This window comes from Homo sapiens, chromosome 15, assembly GCF_000001405.40.
Source record: "Homo sapiens chromosome 15, GRCh38.p14 Primary Assembly".
Lineage (NCBI taxonomy): Eukaryota > Metazoa > Chordata > Mammalia > Primates > Hominidae > Homo > Homo sapiens.
This window is the reverse complement of record NC_000015.10, coordinates 65288646-65305062: the sequence shown is the minus strand read 5'-3', so window position 1 is coordinate 65305062 and position 16417 is coordinate 65288646. Positions and strand designations below refer to the sequence as shown.

At 46.2% G+C, this 16417-nt stretch overlaps 2 non-coding genes across 2 annotated transcripts, besides 3 other annotated features; both read right to left on the bottom strand.

Annotated features, from left to right (window-relative positions):
- Positions 269-428: a silencer, noted in NCBI's record as "silent region_6555". NCBI's record gives its function as "represses an Ori minimal core promoter by ATAC-STARR-seq in GM12878 lymphoblastoid cells {active_cell/tissue: GM12878}" and the evidence as "EXISTENCE:reporter gene assay evidence [ECO:0000049][PMID:35858748]".
- RNU5B-1 (RNA, U5B small nuclear 1) lies at positions 270-386 on the bottom strand. Its single transcript, NR_002757.3, has one exon. It is a non-coding gene; the product is annotated as an RNA, U5B small nuclear 1 (small nuclear RNA).
- Positions 3357-3872: an enhancer, noted in NCBI's record as "H3K4me1 hESC enhancer chr15:65593529-65594044 (GRCh37/hg19 assembly coordinates)". NCBI's record gives its function as "activates a minimal SCP1, AML or CMV promoter by ChIP-STARR-seq in primed H9 embryonic stem cells {active_cell/tissue: H9 hESC(primed)}" and the evidence as "EXISTENCE:reporter gene assay evidence [ECO:0000049][PMID:30033119]".
- Positions 7974-8885: an enhancer, noted in NCBI's record as "NANOG-H3K27ac hESC enhancer chr15:65588516-65589427 (GRCh37/hg19 assembly coordinates)". NCBI's record gives its function as "activates a minimal SCP1, AML or CMV promoter by ChIP-STARR-seq in naive and primed H9 embryonic stem cells {active_cell/tissue: H9 hESC(naive and primed)}" and the evidence as "EXISTENCE:reporter gene assay evidence [ECO:0000049][PMID:30033119]".
- Positions 8896-9012, bottom strand: RNU5A-1 (RNA, U5A small nuclear 1). Its single transcript, NR_002756.2, has one exon. It is a non-coding gene; the product is annotated as an RNA, U5A small nuclear 1 (small nuclear RNA).
- Between the last annotated feature and the right edge of the window lie 7405 nt (positions 9013-16417).

The following is a 16417-nucleotide window of genomic DNA, read 5'->3' as shown; positions in this document are numbered from 1 at the left end:
GCTCACCTTGGTTTACCCAATGCAGTGGGATTACCGGCATAAGCCACCGCGCCCAGCCAGAACACTTTTAAGAATCTTTCACATTAATGACACTGAAGTAAATACTTCTAACTTGTTGGAAGAAGCTTCACTAGAAAAAGAACGCTTGCACTTACACAAAGTTTAAACGCATGAGCGATTGAAGCGTTTACAAGCAGAACCGAAAACTTAAACGATATCTGTAAGAAACACCCTAAATGAAGTCAATCTGATTTTTTAACAGCTTTATATAGCCTTGTCGGAACAAGGCCTCAAAAAATTAGCTTAAGACTCAGAGTTGTTCCTCTCCACGGAAATCTTTAGTAAAAGGCGAAAGATTTATACGATCTGAAGAGAAACCAGAGTATGCTTGTTAATTTCATAACTCGTTTCTCGGGTAACAGAAACTCCTAGTATAGTGATGGTGACTAGTGAATGCCAAGGTTCTATACCTAGAAAAAAATTTTAAGAGTATTGTTTAAACAAAAGTCTAACTTTCACAGAATATGCTTAGAATAAAAATGTTTGATTTTGCCTTTTTAAATTTGTACTGTGAGCAGTGCATTATGGGTATGCAAATAATCGGATCAATCTTTTGATTCCGGAACAGAGCATTTCACAGAGTGCCTTATGTCACCGTTAGGGGGCGAAGCCGAAGACTGGCTGGCTGGAAAATAACGCTTTCCTGGTCAGAGACTCGGGTTTTATCTGTTTTGTGTATTTGTACGTCTGAGTTTGATTTCTTTTAAATAAAGACTGCTATTAAATTGAAAGAGAAAAAATTGGCAAGTCAATGATTAACACAGAATTCAGAATAGTGGTTCCTCCCTTCGGTGAGGAGCGAGAGATGTGACTTGGGGAAGGGCGCACAGGGGTTTAAAAAGTTTGACAATTTCCGTTTTCTTAAACTGTGTGGTGGGCGCAGGGGCGTTCTGATGTTATTTTTAACCGTGCACTCCGGGGATATACTGAATTTTGCATGCCATTTGAGAATTCCCGGCAATGTCCTGTTTAAAATTGGAACTTGAGCGCTCTGTTTCAGGTTTCCTGCCCGACCGGAATCTGCTGTTGGGGATGCAATCTTGCTATTCCAGTTTCAGACCTCGTGTCTCCTTATTCTAGGCGGGAGGATCGCCTGACGCCCAGAGTTCCAGACCTGCCATCTCTACAAAAAATAATAATTTAAAAACATAGTGCTGCCCTCTCCCCCTCGGAGCTACACTGTCGGCTCTCACCAGCCTACAGGGAATTCCTTTCTAAGGAATGTGCTCACTCGGCAACCAGTGAAAGGAAAGCAGTGCAGGCTGGTCTGGAATTACGGGCCACAAGCAATCCTCCCATCTCGGCCTCCCAAAGAATTGGGATTACAGGCCTGAGCCACCTCGCCCAGCCAGCACTAAGACTTTTACAGCCGATGGTGTAAACATTTCATTTCCCGACTTTCACACCTTCTCTAAACCAACACTTTTTTTCACTTTGCTGCTCCTTTGCTAGCAAGTCAATCATATTTGACATGCATGTAATTTAAATTTGTCTAATACATTTAAAAAATAGATTTACTGGATATAATTTAAAAGCCAAGCGATCCATCCATTTAAAGTATACCATTCGGCCGGGCGCGGTGGCTCACTCCTGTAATCCCAGCACTTTGGGAGGCCGAGGTGGGCGGATCACCAGGTCAGGAGATCGAGACCATCCTGGCTAACACAGTGAAACCCCGTCTCTACTAAAAATACAAAACAATTAGCCGGGCGTGGTGGCGGGCGCCTGCAGTCCCAGCTACTTGGGAGGCTGAGGCAGGAGAATGGCGTGAACTCGGGAGGCGGAGCTTGCAGTGAGCTGAGATTGTGCGACTGCACTCCAGCCTGAGCGACAGAGCGAGACTCCGTCTCAAAATAAATAAATAGAGTATACAATTCAATGGTTTTTAGTATATTCACAGTTGTAGAATCATCCCCACAATATAATTTTAGAATTTTTTGTTTTGGGTCTGTTATTGTTTTTCTTTTTTTTTGAGACGGAGTCTTGCTCTGCTCCCCAGGCTGGAGTGCAGTGGCGCAATCTCGGCTTACTGCAACCTCCGTCTTCCAGGTTCAAGAGATTCTCCCGCCTCAGCCTCCCAAGTAGCTGGGACTGTAGGCGCCTGCCACCATGCCCAGATAATTTTTGTATTTTTAGTAGAGACAGGGATTCACCATGTTGGCCAGGCTGGTCTTGAACTCCTAACCTCAAGTGATCTCCCCGCCTTGGCCTCCCAAAGTGCTGAGATTACAGGTGAGCCACCGAGCCCAGTTAGAATGTTTTTGCCACTCCGAAAAATGAAACAGTACCCATTAGAAGTTACTTCCCACCTGCTCATTCACCCAGCCTCTGGCAACTACTAATCTACTTTCTGTCTCTGATAGGCCCATTCCAGACATTTCATATAAAAGGAAGCATACAACATGTGGCCTTTTGTACCGGCTTCTTTTGGTGTGGCTCATTGGTGAGCAAACATTCATCTGGTTTTGTTTGTTTGTTTGCTTGGTTTTTCCTTCCCACAACAAGGAAAATGTGATTTAATTCTACAAATTTACAAACCAAAATACAAAAACAAAATGTGGAACACAAAATAAAGATGAGGAGTTCTGAGACTCAAGGCAGCTCAGCCGTAGCAGCTGCCCCGTGGTCCGGGCTGAATCCTCCCCATGACTTGGAGTCGGCTCTGACCTTGCCAGAACTTGAGGCTGAAGCCGGGCCCGCAACCGAGGCGCCCTGGTTCGTGATGGTGAAGTGGAAGCCAGTCTCCTTCACGTGGTCGTCACCCAGCTGGCTGTAGCCCAGGCCTCCCTGGCGGGGCGCGGGTCGGGTGGGGGCGTGCTGGTGCTCCACTTCACACACTGCTGCTCACTCTTTACGGGCCACGTGGGGAACATCGAGGGGTCAGTGGGGGGGCGGGGGGCGATCTCGCAGAAATACTCGCTTGCGGCCATCCTCAGTGCTCCTCCCGGGGAAGTAGGTCAGGAACTTGTTCGTAAGATGAAAGCCCTGTTCTGAGAGCAAGGCCCCCAAGCCCTTGCAGAGGTTGCTATAGGGGTACTGGCTGAAGGTCATCTTCTTGACTGCTGGAAGGTTACTGTAGCCATTCCTATTTGTTTTTGTTTTGATACACGTTCTGTCACCCAGGCTGGAGTGCAGGGCTGCAATCATAGCTCACTGCAGCCTCAAACTGCTGGGATTAAGCACCTCCTGCCTCAGTCACCCGAGTATCTGGGACTATAGTCTGCAAGCCACCACATTGGGCTAATTTTATTTTTTAATTTTTTGTAGAGATGGGGGTCTCCCTATGTTGACAGACATGTTGCCCATGCTGGTCTCGAATTCGTGGGCTCAGGGGATTCTCCCACCCCTGCCTCTGAAAGTGTTGGTGAGAGGTGACAGCGCGCTGGCAGCCCTCGTAGCCCTCGCTCGCTCTCGGTGCCTCCTTGGCCTCAGCGCCCACTCTGGCCGCGCTTGAGGAGCCCTTCAGCCCGCCGCTGCACTGTGGGAGCCCCTTCCTGGGATGGCCGAGGCCGGAGCCGGCTCCCTCAGCCTGCGGGGAGGTGTGGAGGGAGAGACACCGCAGGAACCGGGGCTGCGCACGGGGCTTGCGGGCCAGCTAGAGTTCCGGGTGGGCGTGGCCTTGGCGGCCCGCAGTCCGAGCGGCCGGCCGGCCGGCTCCGCCGACCCCAGACAGTAAGGGGCTTAGCACCTGGGCCAGCAGCTGCGGAGGATGCGCCAGGTCCCCCAGCAGTGCCGGCCCACCGGCGCTGTGCTGGATTTCTTGCCGGGCCTTAGCTGCCTCCCTGCAGGGCAGGGCTCGGGACCTGCAGCCTGCAATGCCTGAGCCTACCCTGCCCACCCGCCATGGGCTTCTGCGCGGCCGGAGCCTCCACGGACAAGTGCCGCCCCCTGTTCCACCGCGCCCAGTCCCATGGACCGCCCAAGGGCTGAGGAGTGCCGGCACACGGCTCAGGACTGGCAGGCAGCTCCACCTGCGGCCCCAGTGGAGGATCCACTGGACGAAGCCAGCTGGGTTCCGGAGTGTGGTGGGGACTTGGAGAATCTTTATGTCTAGCTAAGGGATTGTAAATACACCAATCAGCACTCTGTATCTAGCTCAAGGTTTGTAAATGCACCAATCAGCACTCTGTGTCTAGCTCAGGGTTTGTAAATACACCAATGGACACTCTGTATCTAGCTAATATAGTGGGGACGAAAACTTTTGTGTCTAGCTCAGGGATTGTAAACACACCAATCAGCACCCTGTCAAAACGGACCAATCAGCTCTCTGTAAAACAGACCAATCGGCTCTCTGTAAAATGGACCAATCAGCAGGATGTGGGTGGGGCCAGATAAGAGCATAAAAGCAGGCTGCCCGCTCCTGCTGCGGCAGGCAGGTGGGGTGTTTTCTTTGATACCGAGGTGGCTTTTTTTCTTTTGCTGTTTGCAGTAACTTGCTATTGCTGCTGCTACTGCTCCGTGCGTGGGTCTGGCCTATGAGCTGTAACACTCACCCTGAAAGTGTGTAGTTTCGCTCTTGAAGCCAGTGAGGCCGGAAACCAACTGGGAAGAAGGAACAACTCCAGATGTGCTGCTTTAAAGAGTTGTAATGCTCACCGTGAAGGTCTGTAGTTTCATTCCTGAGCCAGCAAGACCACGAACCCACCAGAAGGAAGAAACTCCGAATGCATCTGAAGGTCAGAAGGAACAAGCTCTGGATACGCCGCCTTTAAGAACCCTGAGATTCACCACGAGAGTCTGCGGCTTCGTTCTTGAAGTTAGTGAGACCAAAAACCCACCAATTCTGGACACATTGGGATTAAAGGTGTGCCACTGCGCCAGCCAGCGTTACGTCTGTTTTGATAGTCTTGCATGCTTGCTGTAGTTCACAATGTAAGGGGAAGTTAGAAACCCATTGAGATGCAAAGTTCTCACCATATGATAATAGCTACGTCTCATAGGACCTAGCAAGGGGTTAAGGGGTGGGTTCTCTGAGTACTGACCTCCCCCCGTATTGAGCCTTGGGAGAGAGTGTTTCCCTTTTCCTGGGCTTTAGGAGACATTTATTTGTTGGCCTGTACTGTGCTTCACTCTGGAAGGGTCCTGGATAGCTTTCACTGTTGAGAGAACTGAAAGGAGAGTTAACTTGTTTGTAGCTCTGTGAGTCTCCACAGAGGGTCATGGAGTTTCTACAATTTGTGAATCCGAAGCTTGGACTCACGTTGATCCGTTATTTATGATGTGGCTTGCACCTCAATTTCCAGCAACAATTCGTGCTAATTTAATTTAGGAAATAACTGGCTGGGCGCGGTGGGTCACGCCTGTTGTAATACCAGCGCTTTGGGAGGTTGAGGTTGGGGGGATCACCTGAGGTCAGGAGTTCAAGACCAGCTTGGCCAACATGGTGAAACCCTTTCTCTACTAAAAATACAAAAATTGGCGGGACGCAGTGGCATGTGCCTGTAGTCCCAGCTACTCTGGAGGCTGAAGCAGGAGAATCGCTTGAACCCGGGAGGCAGAGGTTGCAGTGAGCGAAGATCGTGCTACTGCACTCCAGCCTGGGTGCAGAGACTTTCGTCTCAAAAATATAATAATCCAGTGTGTATTTTATACTTAAGTACATCTCAATTGAGACTGGCCACATTTCAAATGCTCAATAGCCACATGTGGCCAGTGGTTGCCATATTGAACAGTATACTTCTAAATCCTTTTGGATCTTCTATGAAGATAATCATATGGACTGAGAATAATAATTTTTTCTTTTTTCACTCCTTATACTTTTCCCTCCCCCTGACTTTTCTTGTTACACTTGCCTGGCAAGGCCCTTAGTGAAAAATTGAATGGAAGCAGTGATACTGTCATCTTTGTCTTTTTCCAGACTCTAAAGGGAAAGTTCACAACACTTTGTTATGTGTGAATGTTTTTGGTGGTGGTTCTACTTTAAGCAGATTCCCATCTATTTCTATTGTAATAAGATAAAAACATAGCTGGGCTTGGTGGCTCATACGTGTAATCCCAGCACTTTGGGAGGCCGAGGCTGTAGGGAAGGCTTGAGCCCAGGAGTTCGAGGCTGGCGCCTGGCCAACGTGGTGAAACTCTGTTCCTACAAAAAAACACAAAAATTAGCCAGGTGGGGTGGTGCGAGTCTGTAGTCTCTACCGCTTGGGAGGATGAGGTGGGAGGATCACTTGGGCCCGGGAGGTCGAGGTTGCAGTAAACCTACATTGCACCACTGCACTCCAGCCTGGGCAACGGAGCGAGACTATCAAAAGTAAAATAAAACTAAGTTATGTATATACTATATATAAAAATGGATAGATGTTTAAATTTGTCAAACTTAAACATTTGATAAATGTACATTCATGGGATTACCAAATGATTCTGCTTTAATCTCATATAGTGTTGATCAATCTACACTAACAGATTGATGGGGCTTTTGTTTTTTTTCTTTTTCTTTTGAGACAGTCACTGCTGAAGTGCAGTGGCGTGATCTGGGCCGACAACTTCCGCCTCCGGGGTTCATGCGATTCTCCTGGTTCTTTTTTGGTTTTGTGTGTGTGTGTGTGTGTGTGTGTGTGTGTGTGTGTGTGTTTAGATGGAGGCTCACTATCACACAGGCTGGAGTGCAGTGGTACAATCTCGGCTCACTGCAGCCTCTGCCTCCCAGGTTCAAGTGATTCTCTTGTCTCAGCCTCCCAAGTAGCTGGGATGATGACAGGCGTGCCCCACCACACCTGGCTAATTTTTGTATTTTTAGTAGAGAAGGGGTTTCACCGTGTTGGCCAGGCTGGTCTTGAACTCCTGGCCTCCACTGATCTTCCCGCTTCGCCCTCCCAAAGTGCTGGTATTACAGGTGTGAGCCACTTGTGGCCAGCCTACACAGATAAACGTTAAATCATTTTTGTAGATTGTTCTCTGGTTTCTATTTGTTGTGACCAGATGCCAGGGCCCAGTTATAAGAAGCAGGTTCTCTTGTAGAAGCAACATTCAATCATTACAAATTTTTCTGTAGAGACTCTCCCTATAGGGAAGGTAGTTGGTGGGGGGCCTCTAGGTCTCAGCTCCTATTACGTTACCTCCGTTCTTCGAACTCCTTGCTCATTTCTGCTGCAGCCTCCGCGATGGCCACAAGAGGGCCCAAGTTCCATTTAGTGCTCAGTTCTGACTCCAAGGCCCACCCGTTATGGTCGTGGCGTCAAATATCTTCTTCCCTTAAATCCGAAAAGTATTTCGAAAATGTATGCTCCTCTTGCACATTTTAAAGATCATGTCTACAGCTTTCTTGTGATAACTTACAATATAAGTTTAAAGAGATGCAAAGGATGAGTATCTTGTGCATTTTAATATTAACACTAAAAACTGTTACATCACTAAAAATTTAGGCCGGGTGCAGTGGCTCCTGCCTGTAATCCCAGCACTTTGGGAGGCTGAGGCGGGTGGATCACTTGAGGGCCAGGAGTTCAAGACCAGCCTAGCTAGCCAACATGGTGAAACCCCGTCTCTACTAAAAATATAAAAATTAGCCCGGTGTGGTGGCACCACCCCTGTAGTCCCAGCTACTCGGGAGGCTGAGGCAGGAGAATCGCTTGAACCTGGGAGGCGGAGGTTGCAGTGAGCCGAGATCGCGCCACTGCACTCCAGCCTGGGCGACTCAGCGAGACTGTCTCAAAAAAAAAAAAAATTAGGCCAGGAGCGGCGGCTCACAGCTGTAATCCCAGCACTTTGGGAGGCCGAGGCGGGTAGATCATCTGAGGTCAGGAGTTCGAGACCAGCCTGGCCAACATGGCGAAACCCCATCTCTACTAAAAATACAAAAAGTTTGCCGGGCATGGTGGTGGGCGCCTGTAATTCCAGCTACTCCGGAGGCTGAGGCAGGAGAATCGCTTGAACCCGGGAGGCGGAAGTTGCAGTCAGCCGAGATCGCCCTACTACACTCCAGCCTGGGCAACAAAAGCAAAACTCCATCTCAAATAAGATTAGCCCTATCTACCAAAGCAAGGACTACAGTATGGGCAAAAAATAATGTAAAACATCTCTAATTATTACATATACAAGTGATAGTATTTTGGATTACTGGATTTTTCCATTCTTTAAAAGTAGTTTAATGTGGCTTTTAAAATTAAAAATTCCACCTATACCTCGAATTGTTTTTTTTTTTTTTTTTTGAGACAGTGTCTTGCTCTGTCGCCCAGGCTGGAGTGCAGTGGTGCAATCTCGGCTCACTGTAAGCTCCCTCCCGGGTTCACACCATTCTCCTGCCTCAGCCTCCCGAGTAGCTGGGACTACAGGCGCCTGCCACCACGCCCGGCTAATTTTTTTTGTATTTTTAGTAGAGACAGGGTTTCACTGTGTTAGCCAGGATGGTCTTGATCTCCTGACCTCGATGGTCTTGATTCTCCTGCCTTGATGACCAGGATTGGTCTTGATTGTCCTGCCTCGGCCTCCCAAAGTGCTGGGATTACAGGCGTGAGCCACCACGCCCGATCCTCGCGTTGTGTTTCAACCGGACAGTGCTGCAAAAAGAAAATGAACTGAATACTGTACATTACAAGTAACAAAAAACATGCATCTACCAAACAGTCTTGACTAAGAAGATCCCGGAGGAGGTACTACTTGTGTATCAACTGTCTATCACAAAAAGTTGAAAAGCATGAATATACAAGCCGCATTTCTTTGGAACATATATACACAGAAATAATTACCAATAAGGTAGGGAGAAAAGAACTAAACAGGGTTCAGTGCTTTTACCACACAGAATCTGCTAGTCACTGCTTTACAACAATATCAAAAGCACCATTGAACAGAAAAAGGAACACACAAACTTAAAAATAATTTCTATTGTTGGATTACCACATATAGCCTTGCCAAAGCAAGGCCTCAAAAAATTGGGTTAAGACTCAGAGTTGTTCCTCTCCACGGAAATCTTTAGTAAAAGGCGAAAGATTTATGCGATCTGAAGAGAAACCAGAGTATACCAGTTACTTCTGTAACTCAATTTTCGGGTAACTGCAATTCCTAGTACACTGATGGTGTCTACTAATCCCAAGGGTTACTACCTGAGAAAGTTTATACAAAAAAATTCTGCATGCAAAATTCTCATACTTAAAAATGTCAAGCAATATATAAATGTTTTTCCGAAAAAAATACTGTTTGCAGTGTATTATGGGTATGCAAATGAGACCTGAATAATCGTCTTTAGACTCCGGAAATACCTTAGCAGTCACACGGTGCTCTTGGGGCAACCTTTAGGGGGTGAAGTGGAGGCCTTGCTGCCCAGGACTTTTTTTTTTTTTTTTTTTGAGACAGGGTCTCACTCTGTCATCCAGGCTGGAGTGCAGTGGCGCGATCTCGGCTCACTGCAACCTCTACCTCGGGTTCAAGAGATTCTTCTGCCTCAGCCTCCCAACTAGGTGGGATTACAGGCGCACGACACTGTGCCCAGCTAATTGCCCAGGACTTTTAAGCCCTGTCTCTAAAATATAGAAACATCTTAAAGATTTTTAAGTATATCTCGTAAATAATGTATATAGTCTATGTGCATACATAATTCAAAAGTAATAAAACACTGATGTCTCCCATCCAGTTCAAAAAGTATATTGTTAACATCTTTGAAGCCTTCGTTGGCCCATTTCCCCTATCATACCCCTCACTCGCTATATGGGTAGTCACTATCTGGAATATGTATTAACCATTCCTTTGCACTTAAATGCCCCCCCCCCCCCCCCGCCCCAACTATTAGAAAACTCCCTCCTAGCAATACTCCCACCTCAGCCTCTCAACTAGCTGGGACCACAGGCACGCGCCACCACACCTGGCTAGTTTTTGTATTTTTCGTAGAGACGGGTTCTGGCTTTCTTGCCCAGCCTGGTCTCGAACTTCTGGCCGCAAGCGAGCCTCCTGCCTCAGCTTCCGGAGTTGCTGGATTACAGGCGTGAGACAGCCGCCAGCTCTTCTTTCACTTTCTTCACGAGATTTTGCATATATATAATATATATATTACATATTATATAAATAATATATACTATATATAATTACATAGTATATATCTATAATTATATATTACATATATATACATTATATATTATATATAGTGTATTTTAACATGTTTTCTAGCCTTCATTTAAATTTTTAAAGTTTGTTTTGTTATGGTGCTAAAATACACATGAAACTTACCGTTTTAACCATTTTTAAGTGTACAGTTCAGTGGTATTAAATATATTCACACTGTTCTGCAACCATCACTACTTTCCATTTTCAGAATTTTTTCATCATCCCAAAACCCATTAAATAATGACTCCCCATTCTCACCTGAGCCCCTGGCAACCACCATTTTACTTTCTGTCTCTATGATATTGCCTTTCTAGGTGCCTCATATAAGTGGAATCTGGAATATTTGTTCATTTGTCTCTGGTTTATTTCATTTAGCATAATATCTTTAAGGTTCATCCATGTTGTAGCATGCATCAGAATTTTATTCCTTTTTTTTTTTTTTTTTTTTTTTTGAGACAGTTTTGCTCTTGTTGCCCAGGCTGGAGTGCAATGGCGCGATTTCTGCTCACTGCAACCTCCACCTTCCAGGTTCAAGTGATTCTTCTGCCTCAATCTCCTGAGTAGCTGGGATTACAGGCATGCGCCACCACACCTGGCTAATTTTGTATTTTTAGTAGAGATGGGGTTTCACCATGTTGGTCAGGCTGGTCTCGAACTCCTGACCTCAGGTGATCTGCCAGCTTCGGCCTCCCAAAGTGCTGGGATTACAGGCGTGAGCCACCGCGCCCACCCAGAATTTTATTCCTTTTTAAGGATGAATAATATGCCATTATATGGGTACACCACATTTTGTTTACCCATTCATTTGTTGATGGACAGGTATTGTTTACACCTCTTGGGTTATTGTAAATAATGCTTCCATGCAATTATTTTTATATTTAAGTTAACAGTAAAATTGAATTTTTCTGGTATACAGATCTACGATTTCTTTTTTTTTTTTTGTCTTAAAAAAATTTTTTGTTTTTTTGAGAGGGGATCTCACTCTATCACCCAGGCTGGAATGCAGAAGTGCGATCTCAGCTTACTGCAATCTCCACCTCCTTGGCTCAAGTGATCCCACCTCAGCCTCCAGAGTAGCTGGGGCTACAGTTGGGGCCACCATGCCTGGCTAATTTTTGTATTTTTAGTAGAGACAGGGTTTCACCATGTTACCCAGGCTGGTCTAGAACTCCTGGCCTCAAAGCCATCCGACCACCTCCGCCTTCCAAAGTGCTAGGATTACGGGCTTGAGCCACTGCTTGTTTTGTTTTTAGAGACCAGGTTTCCTATGTTGCCCAGGCTGGTCTCGAAATCCTGGTCTTAAGCAATCCCACAACCTCATCCTCCAAAGTGCTGAGATTACAGGCGTGAGCCACCATAAGAGGGTCTCTGTTGCCCAGGTCTCAGCCTCCCAAGTAGCTGAGATTCCAGGTGCAAGCCACCATGTCCTGCTGCTACTTGTATTTTTTTTACAGGTGTGATCCACCACACCTGGCCAGATCTATGATTTTAAATTATTATTTTTTATTTTATCCTCATTGCATACTGAGTGCATCTATGACTTTTTAAACATGTACATAGATTTGCATAATCACTACCACAATCAAGATACACAATAGTTTCATCACTCCAAAATTTCCTCATGCTGCTCTTTGTGGTCACACCTTCCTCTACTTGTAATCCTTTACAAACACTGACCTGTCCTCCAACAATACTTTTGCCATTTCCGACATTTAAATGAAACATTCAGCACATACCCTTTGAACTGGCTTCTTGTGCTCAGCATGATGCCTTGAGATTCACTCATGTTGCATTCCTCTCTGTTCCTGTATGGCTGTACCATGATTTATTTACCCATCCACCTGTCATGTCCAGTTTTTAGTGATTGCTAACAGAGCTGCTGTAAACATTTTTGTACAGATTTTTGTCTGAGCAAGAGTTTTCACTTCTCTAAACACCTAGAAGTGGGTATTGCTAGGTCTTATGGTAGGTGGATGTTTATAAAAACTGTTTTTACAGAGTAGTTACCAGTTTATATTCCCACCATCAATGTATAAGAGTTTCAGTTACTCCATATCCTCTCCAACATGTAGAATTGTTCGTTTTATTTTTTAAATTTAAACCACTTCCACGGGTGGGGTGTGTAGTGGTATCTCTGGTTTAATTTGCATTTTCCTCATGACTAATGATGTTGAGCATCTTCCCAAGTGCTTAATTGTCATCCATGTATCTTCTTTGGTGAAGTGCCTGTTTAAGGAGCATAAAATATATAAGACATGCATAAAACATAAAGAAAAACAACTGGCCGGGCATGGTGGCTCACACCTGAAATCTCAGCACTTAGGGAGGCCAAGGTGGGAAGACTGCTTGAGGTCAGGAGTTCAAGACCAGCCTGGCCAACATGGCAAAACCCCATCTCCACTAAAAATACAAAAATTAGTCGGGTGTGGCAGAGGGCGCCAGTAATCCCAGCAACTGGGGAGGCCGAGGCATGAGAATTGCTTGAACCTGGGAAATGGAGGTTGCAGTGAGCCAAGATCACCCCACTGCAATCCTGCCTGGGCGACAGAGCGAGACTCTGTCTCAAAAAGAAAAAAAAAAGGCCGGGCACAGTGCCTAACGCTTGTAATCCCAGTACTTTGGGAGGCTGAGGCGGGCGGATCACGAGGTCAGGAGTTTGAGACCAGCCTGGCCAACACAGTGAAACCGGGTCTGTACTAAAAACACAAAAATTAGCTGGGCATGGTGGTGTGTGCTTGTAATCCCAGCTACTCGGGAGCTGAGGCAGGAGAATCGCTTGAACCCGGGAGGTGGAGGTTGCAGTGAGCTGAGATCATACCACGGCACTCCCGCCTGAGTGACAGAGCTAGACTCTGTCAAAAAAAAAAAAAAAAAAGGCAGGCAGGCGCCAGGTGCAGTGGCTCACACCTGTAACCCCAGCAGCACTTTGGGTGGCTGAGGTGTGTGGATCACGAGGTCAGGAGATTGAGACCACCCTGACCAACACAGTGAAACCGCATCTCTACTACTAATATAAAAATTAGCTGGGCGTGGTGGCACACACCTGTAGTCCCAGCTACTAGAGAGGCTGAGGCAGAATTGCTTGAACCCAGGAGGCGGAGGTCGCAGTGAGCCAAGATCGTGCCACTACTCTCCAGCCTGGTGACAGAGCGAGACTCCATCTCAAAAAAGAAAAAAACAACAGATATACAGTTGACCCTTGAACAACATGGGGGGTTAGAGTTGCCGACCCCTCTCGCAGTTGAAAATTTGCATGTAACTTTTTTTTTTTTTTGGTGGGGAGATGGGGTCTCACCGTGGTCCAAGCTGGAGTGCAATGGCTTGATCTCGGCTCACTGCAACCTCCGCCTCCTAGGCTCAAGCGATTCTCCTGCCTCAGCCTCCTGAGTAGCTGGGACTACAGGCATGTGCCACCACGCCCAGCTAATTCTTGTATTTTTAGTAAAGACGGGGTTTTGCCATTTTGGCCAGGCTGGTCTAGAACTCCTGGCCTCAAGTGATCCGCCCGCCTCGGCCTCCGAAAGTGCTGAGATTACAGGCATGTGCCACCATGCTGATGCATATAACTTTTGACTCCCCCTAAACTTAACTACAAATAGTCTACTGTTGACCGACAGCCTTACAGATAACAGTTGATTAACACATATTATGTGTGTTAAACGTATTATATACTGTATTCTTACTACAATGAGGTAGAGGAAGGAAAATGTTATTAAAGAAGAAGAGAAAATAGGCTGGGCATGGTGGCTAACACCTGTAAACCCAGCACTTTGGGAGGCCAAGGCAGAAGGACCACTTGAGGCCAGGAGTTCAACACCAGCCTGTTCAAGATTTTGTCTCTACTGAAAAAGAAAAAGAAGAAAGAAAAAAAAATTGCTGGGGATGGCATCATGCATCTATATAGTCCTAGCTACTCAGGAGGCTGAGGCACGAGAATTGCTTGAACCTGGGAGGCAGAGGTTGCAGTGAGGTCACACCACTGTACTCCAGCCTGGTGACAGAGTGAGACCTTGTCTCAAAATATATATATATATATATATTTACTATTAAAAAACCCCACTAAATAAACAAAAAGAACATATATTTACTATTCATTAAGTGGAAGTGGGTCATCGTAAAAGTCTTCCTCATTGTCTTCACGTTGGGTATGTTGAGGACAGGGAGGAGAGGTTGGTTTTACTGTCTGAGGAGTGGCAGAGGAGGAAGAGGTGGAGGTAGAAGGGAGGCAGGCATACTCGCTTTAGTTTCAGTGCCCATGTCATAGAAGGGTCCACGTTGTAAAAGCAGTCTTGAATACTAGGAACACTTCCGCCAGATTGTCTAATGTCAGTTGTTCTCCGGCACTGCGTCTTCTACATCATCTTCATCGTCTTGCACTGGTTCGAAGGCACTCATCTCCACCAAGTCATCTATTCGTTCCTCTAGTGTGACATCTAGTAGCCCTTGGATTTCTCCAAGATTCATATCTTGAACCCTTCACCCCACACACATCTCTTTTGCATATCCACAATCTCTTTCTTGATTTCCTTGACAGTCTCTGTCATAAATCTCGTGAAGTCATGCACAACATCTGCACACAATTTTTCTCCAGCATGAATTTATTGTTTCAGGTTTGATGGCCTTCACATGTTTTTCTACAACATCTTCAATGGTGTAATCCTTCCAGACGTTCATGATGTTCTCTTGGTTGAGGTCCTCTCCCATAGTGTTGACGATCCCTTCCATAGAGTACTGGGTGTAATAAGCATTAAAGATTCTTATGACCCCGTGATCTAGAGGATGAATTACAGACATCGTCCCTATTCAGAGGCAAGTAGACCACTTGCACCTTCAGTGTTGAACTCGGGGTTCCGGGTGGCCAAGAACATTGTCCAATATCAAAAGAACTTGAAAAGCTCCTGCTGGCCGGGCATGGTGGCTCACGCCTGTAATCCCAACACTTTGGGAGGTTGAGGCAGGTGGATCACTTGAGGTTGGGAGTTCGAGACCAGCTTGGCCAACATCATGAAACCCCATCTCTACTAAAAATATAAAAATTAGCGAAGCGTGGCGGCACACACCTGTAATCCCAGCTACTCGGGAGGCTGAGGCAGGATAATTGCTTGAACCTGGGAGGTGGAGGTTACAGTGAGCCAAGATCAAGATCGCACCACTGCACTCCAGCCTGGGCAACAGAGCAAGACTCCGTCTCAATAAATAAAAGGCAGCTCCTTACTGGCAAGATATAATACTTCCTGACTTCAAGGACAAAGCATTCAACCAATCCAGAGGAAGGGTTCTTCTTGTCCAGGCCTTCTTGTTGTACCAAGAGTGGCAGCTTGTGTTTATCTTTTCTCTTCAAGGCTTGGGGGTTATCAGCTTTACAGATAAGGGAAGTTCTGATAATAAACCTGACCAAATTTGCACAGAACAATAGTCAGCCTATCCCTTTCTGCCTTAAATCCTGGTGCTCGATTTTCTTCCTTACTAATAAGTGTCTTTTGTGGCATCTTCTTTCAGAATAGGGCATGTTCATCGGCATTAAAAACCTGTTCAGGTGGATATCTTTCCTGTCAGTGATTTTTTTTTTTTTTTTTTTTTTTTTTTTGGGAGATGAAATCTTACTCTGTCACCCAAGCTGGAGTGTAGTGGCATGATCTCAACTCACTGCAACCTCCGCCTCCCAGGTTCAAACAGTTCTCGGGCTTCAACCTCCCGAGTAGCTGGGGCTACAGGCACGTGCCACTATGCCTGGCTAATTTTTGTATCTTTATTAGAGACAGGGTTTAACCATAGTGGCCAGGCTGGTCTCGAACTCCTGACCTCAGGTGATTTGCCCACTTCGGCCTCCCAAAGTGCTGGGATTACAGGTGTGAGCCACGTGCCTGGTCCCCACTTTCAATAATGAATAGAATAAACAGAAGATCAACAAGGAAATCTAAGATTTGAAAACAATATAAATCAACTAGACCTAACAGACATCCATAGAACACTTGACCTAACAGCAGCAGAATATATACATTCACATGAAACATTCTCCAGGATAGGCCATATGCTAGGCAATAGACAAACCTCAATGAATTTAAAAGGACAGGAGTAAACAAAATGTGTTCTCTAAGCCAGGTGTGGTGGTGTGAGCCTGTAGTCTGAGGTACTCTGGAGGCTGAGCCGGGAGGATCATTTGAGGCCAGAAGTTCTAGGCTGCAATGTGCTATGATCATGCTTGTGAATAGCCACTGTGCTCTAGCCGAGGTAACAGTGAGGCCCAGTCTCTTAAACAAAAAACAAACATGTTGGTGATTGCTTAGGAGTGGGCGACATGGTAGGGTGGGTAGAGCATTGATAGACT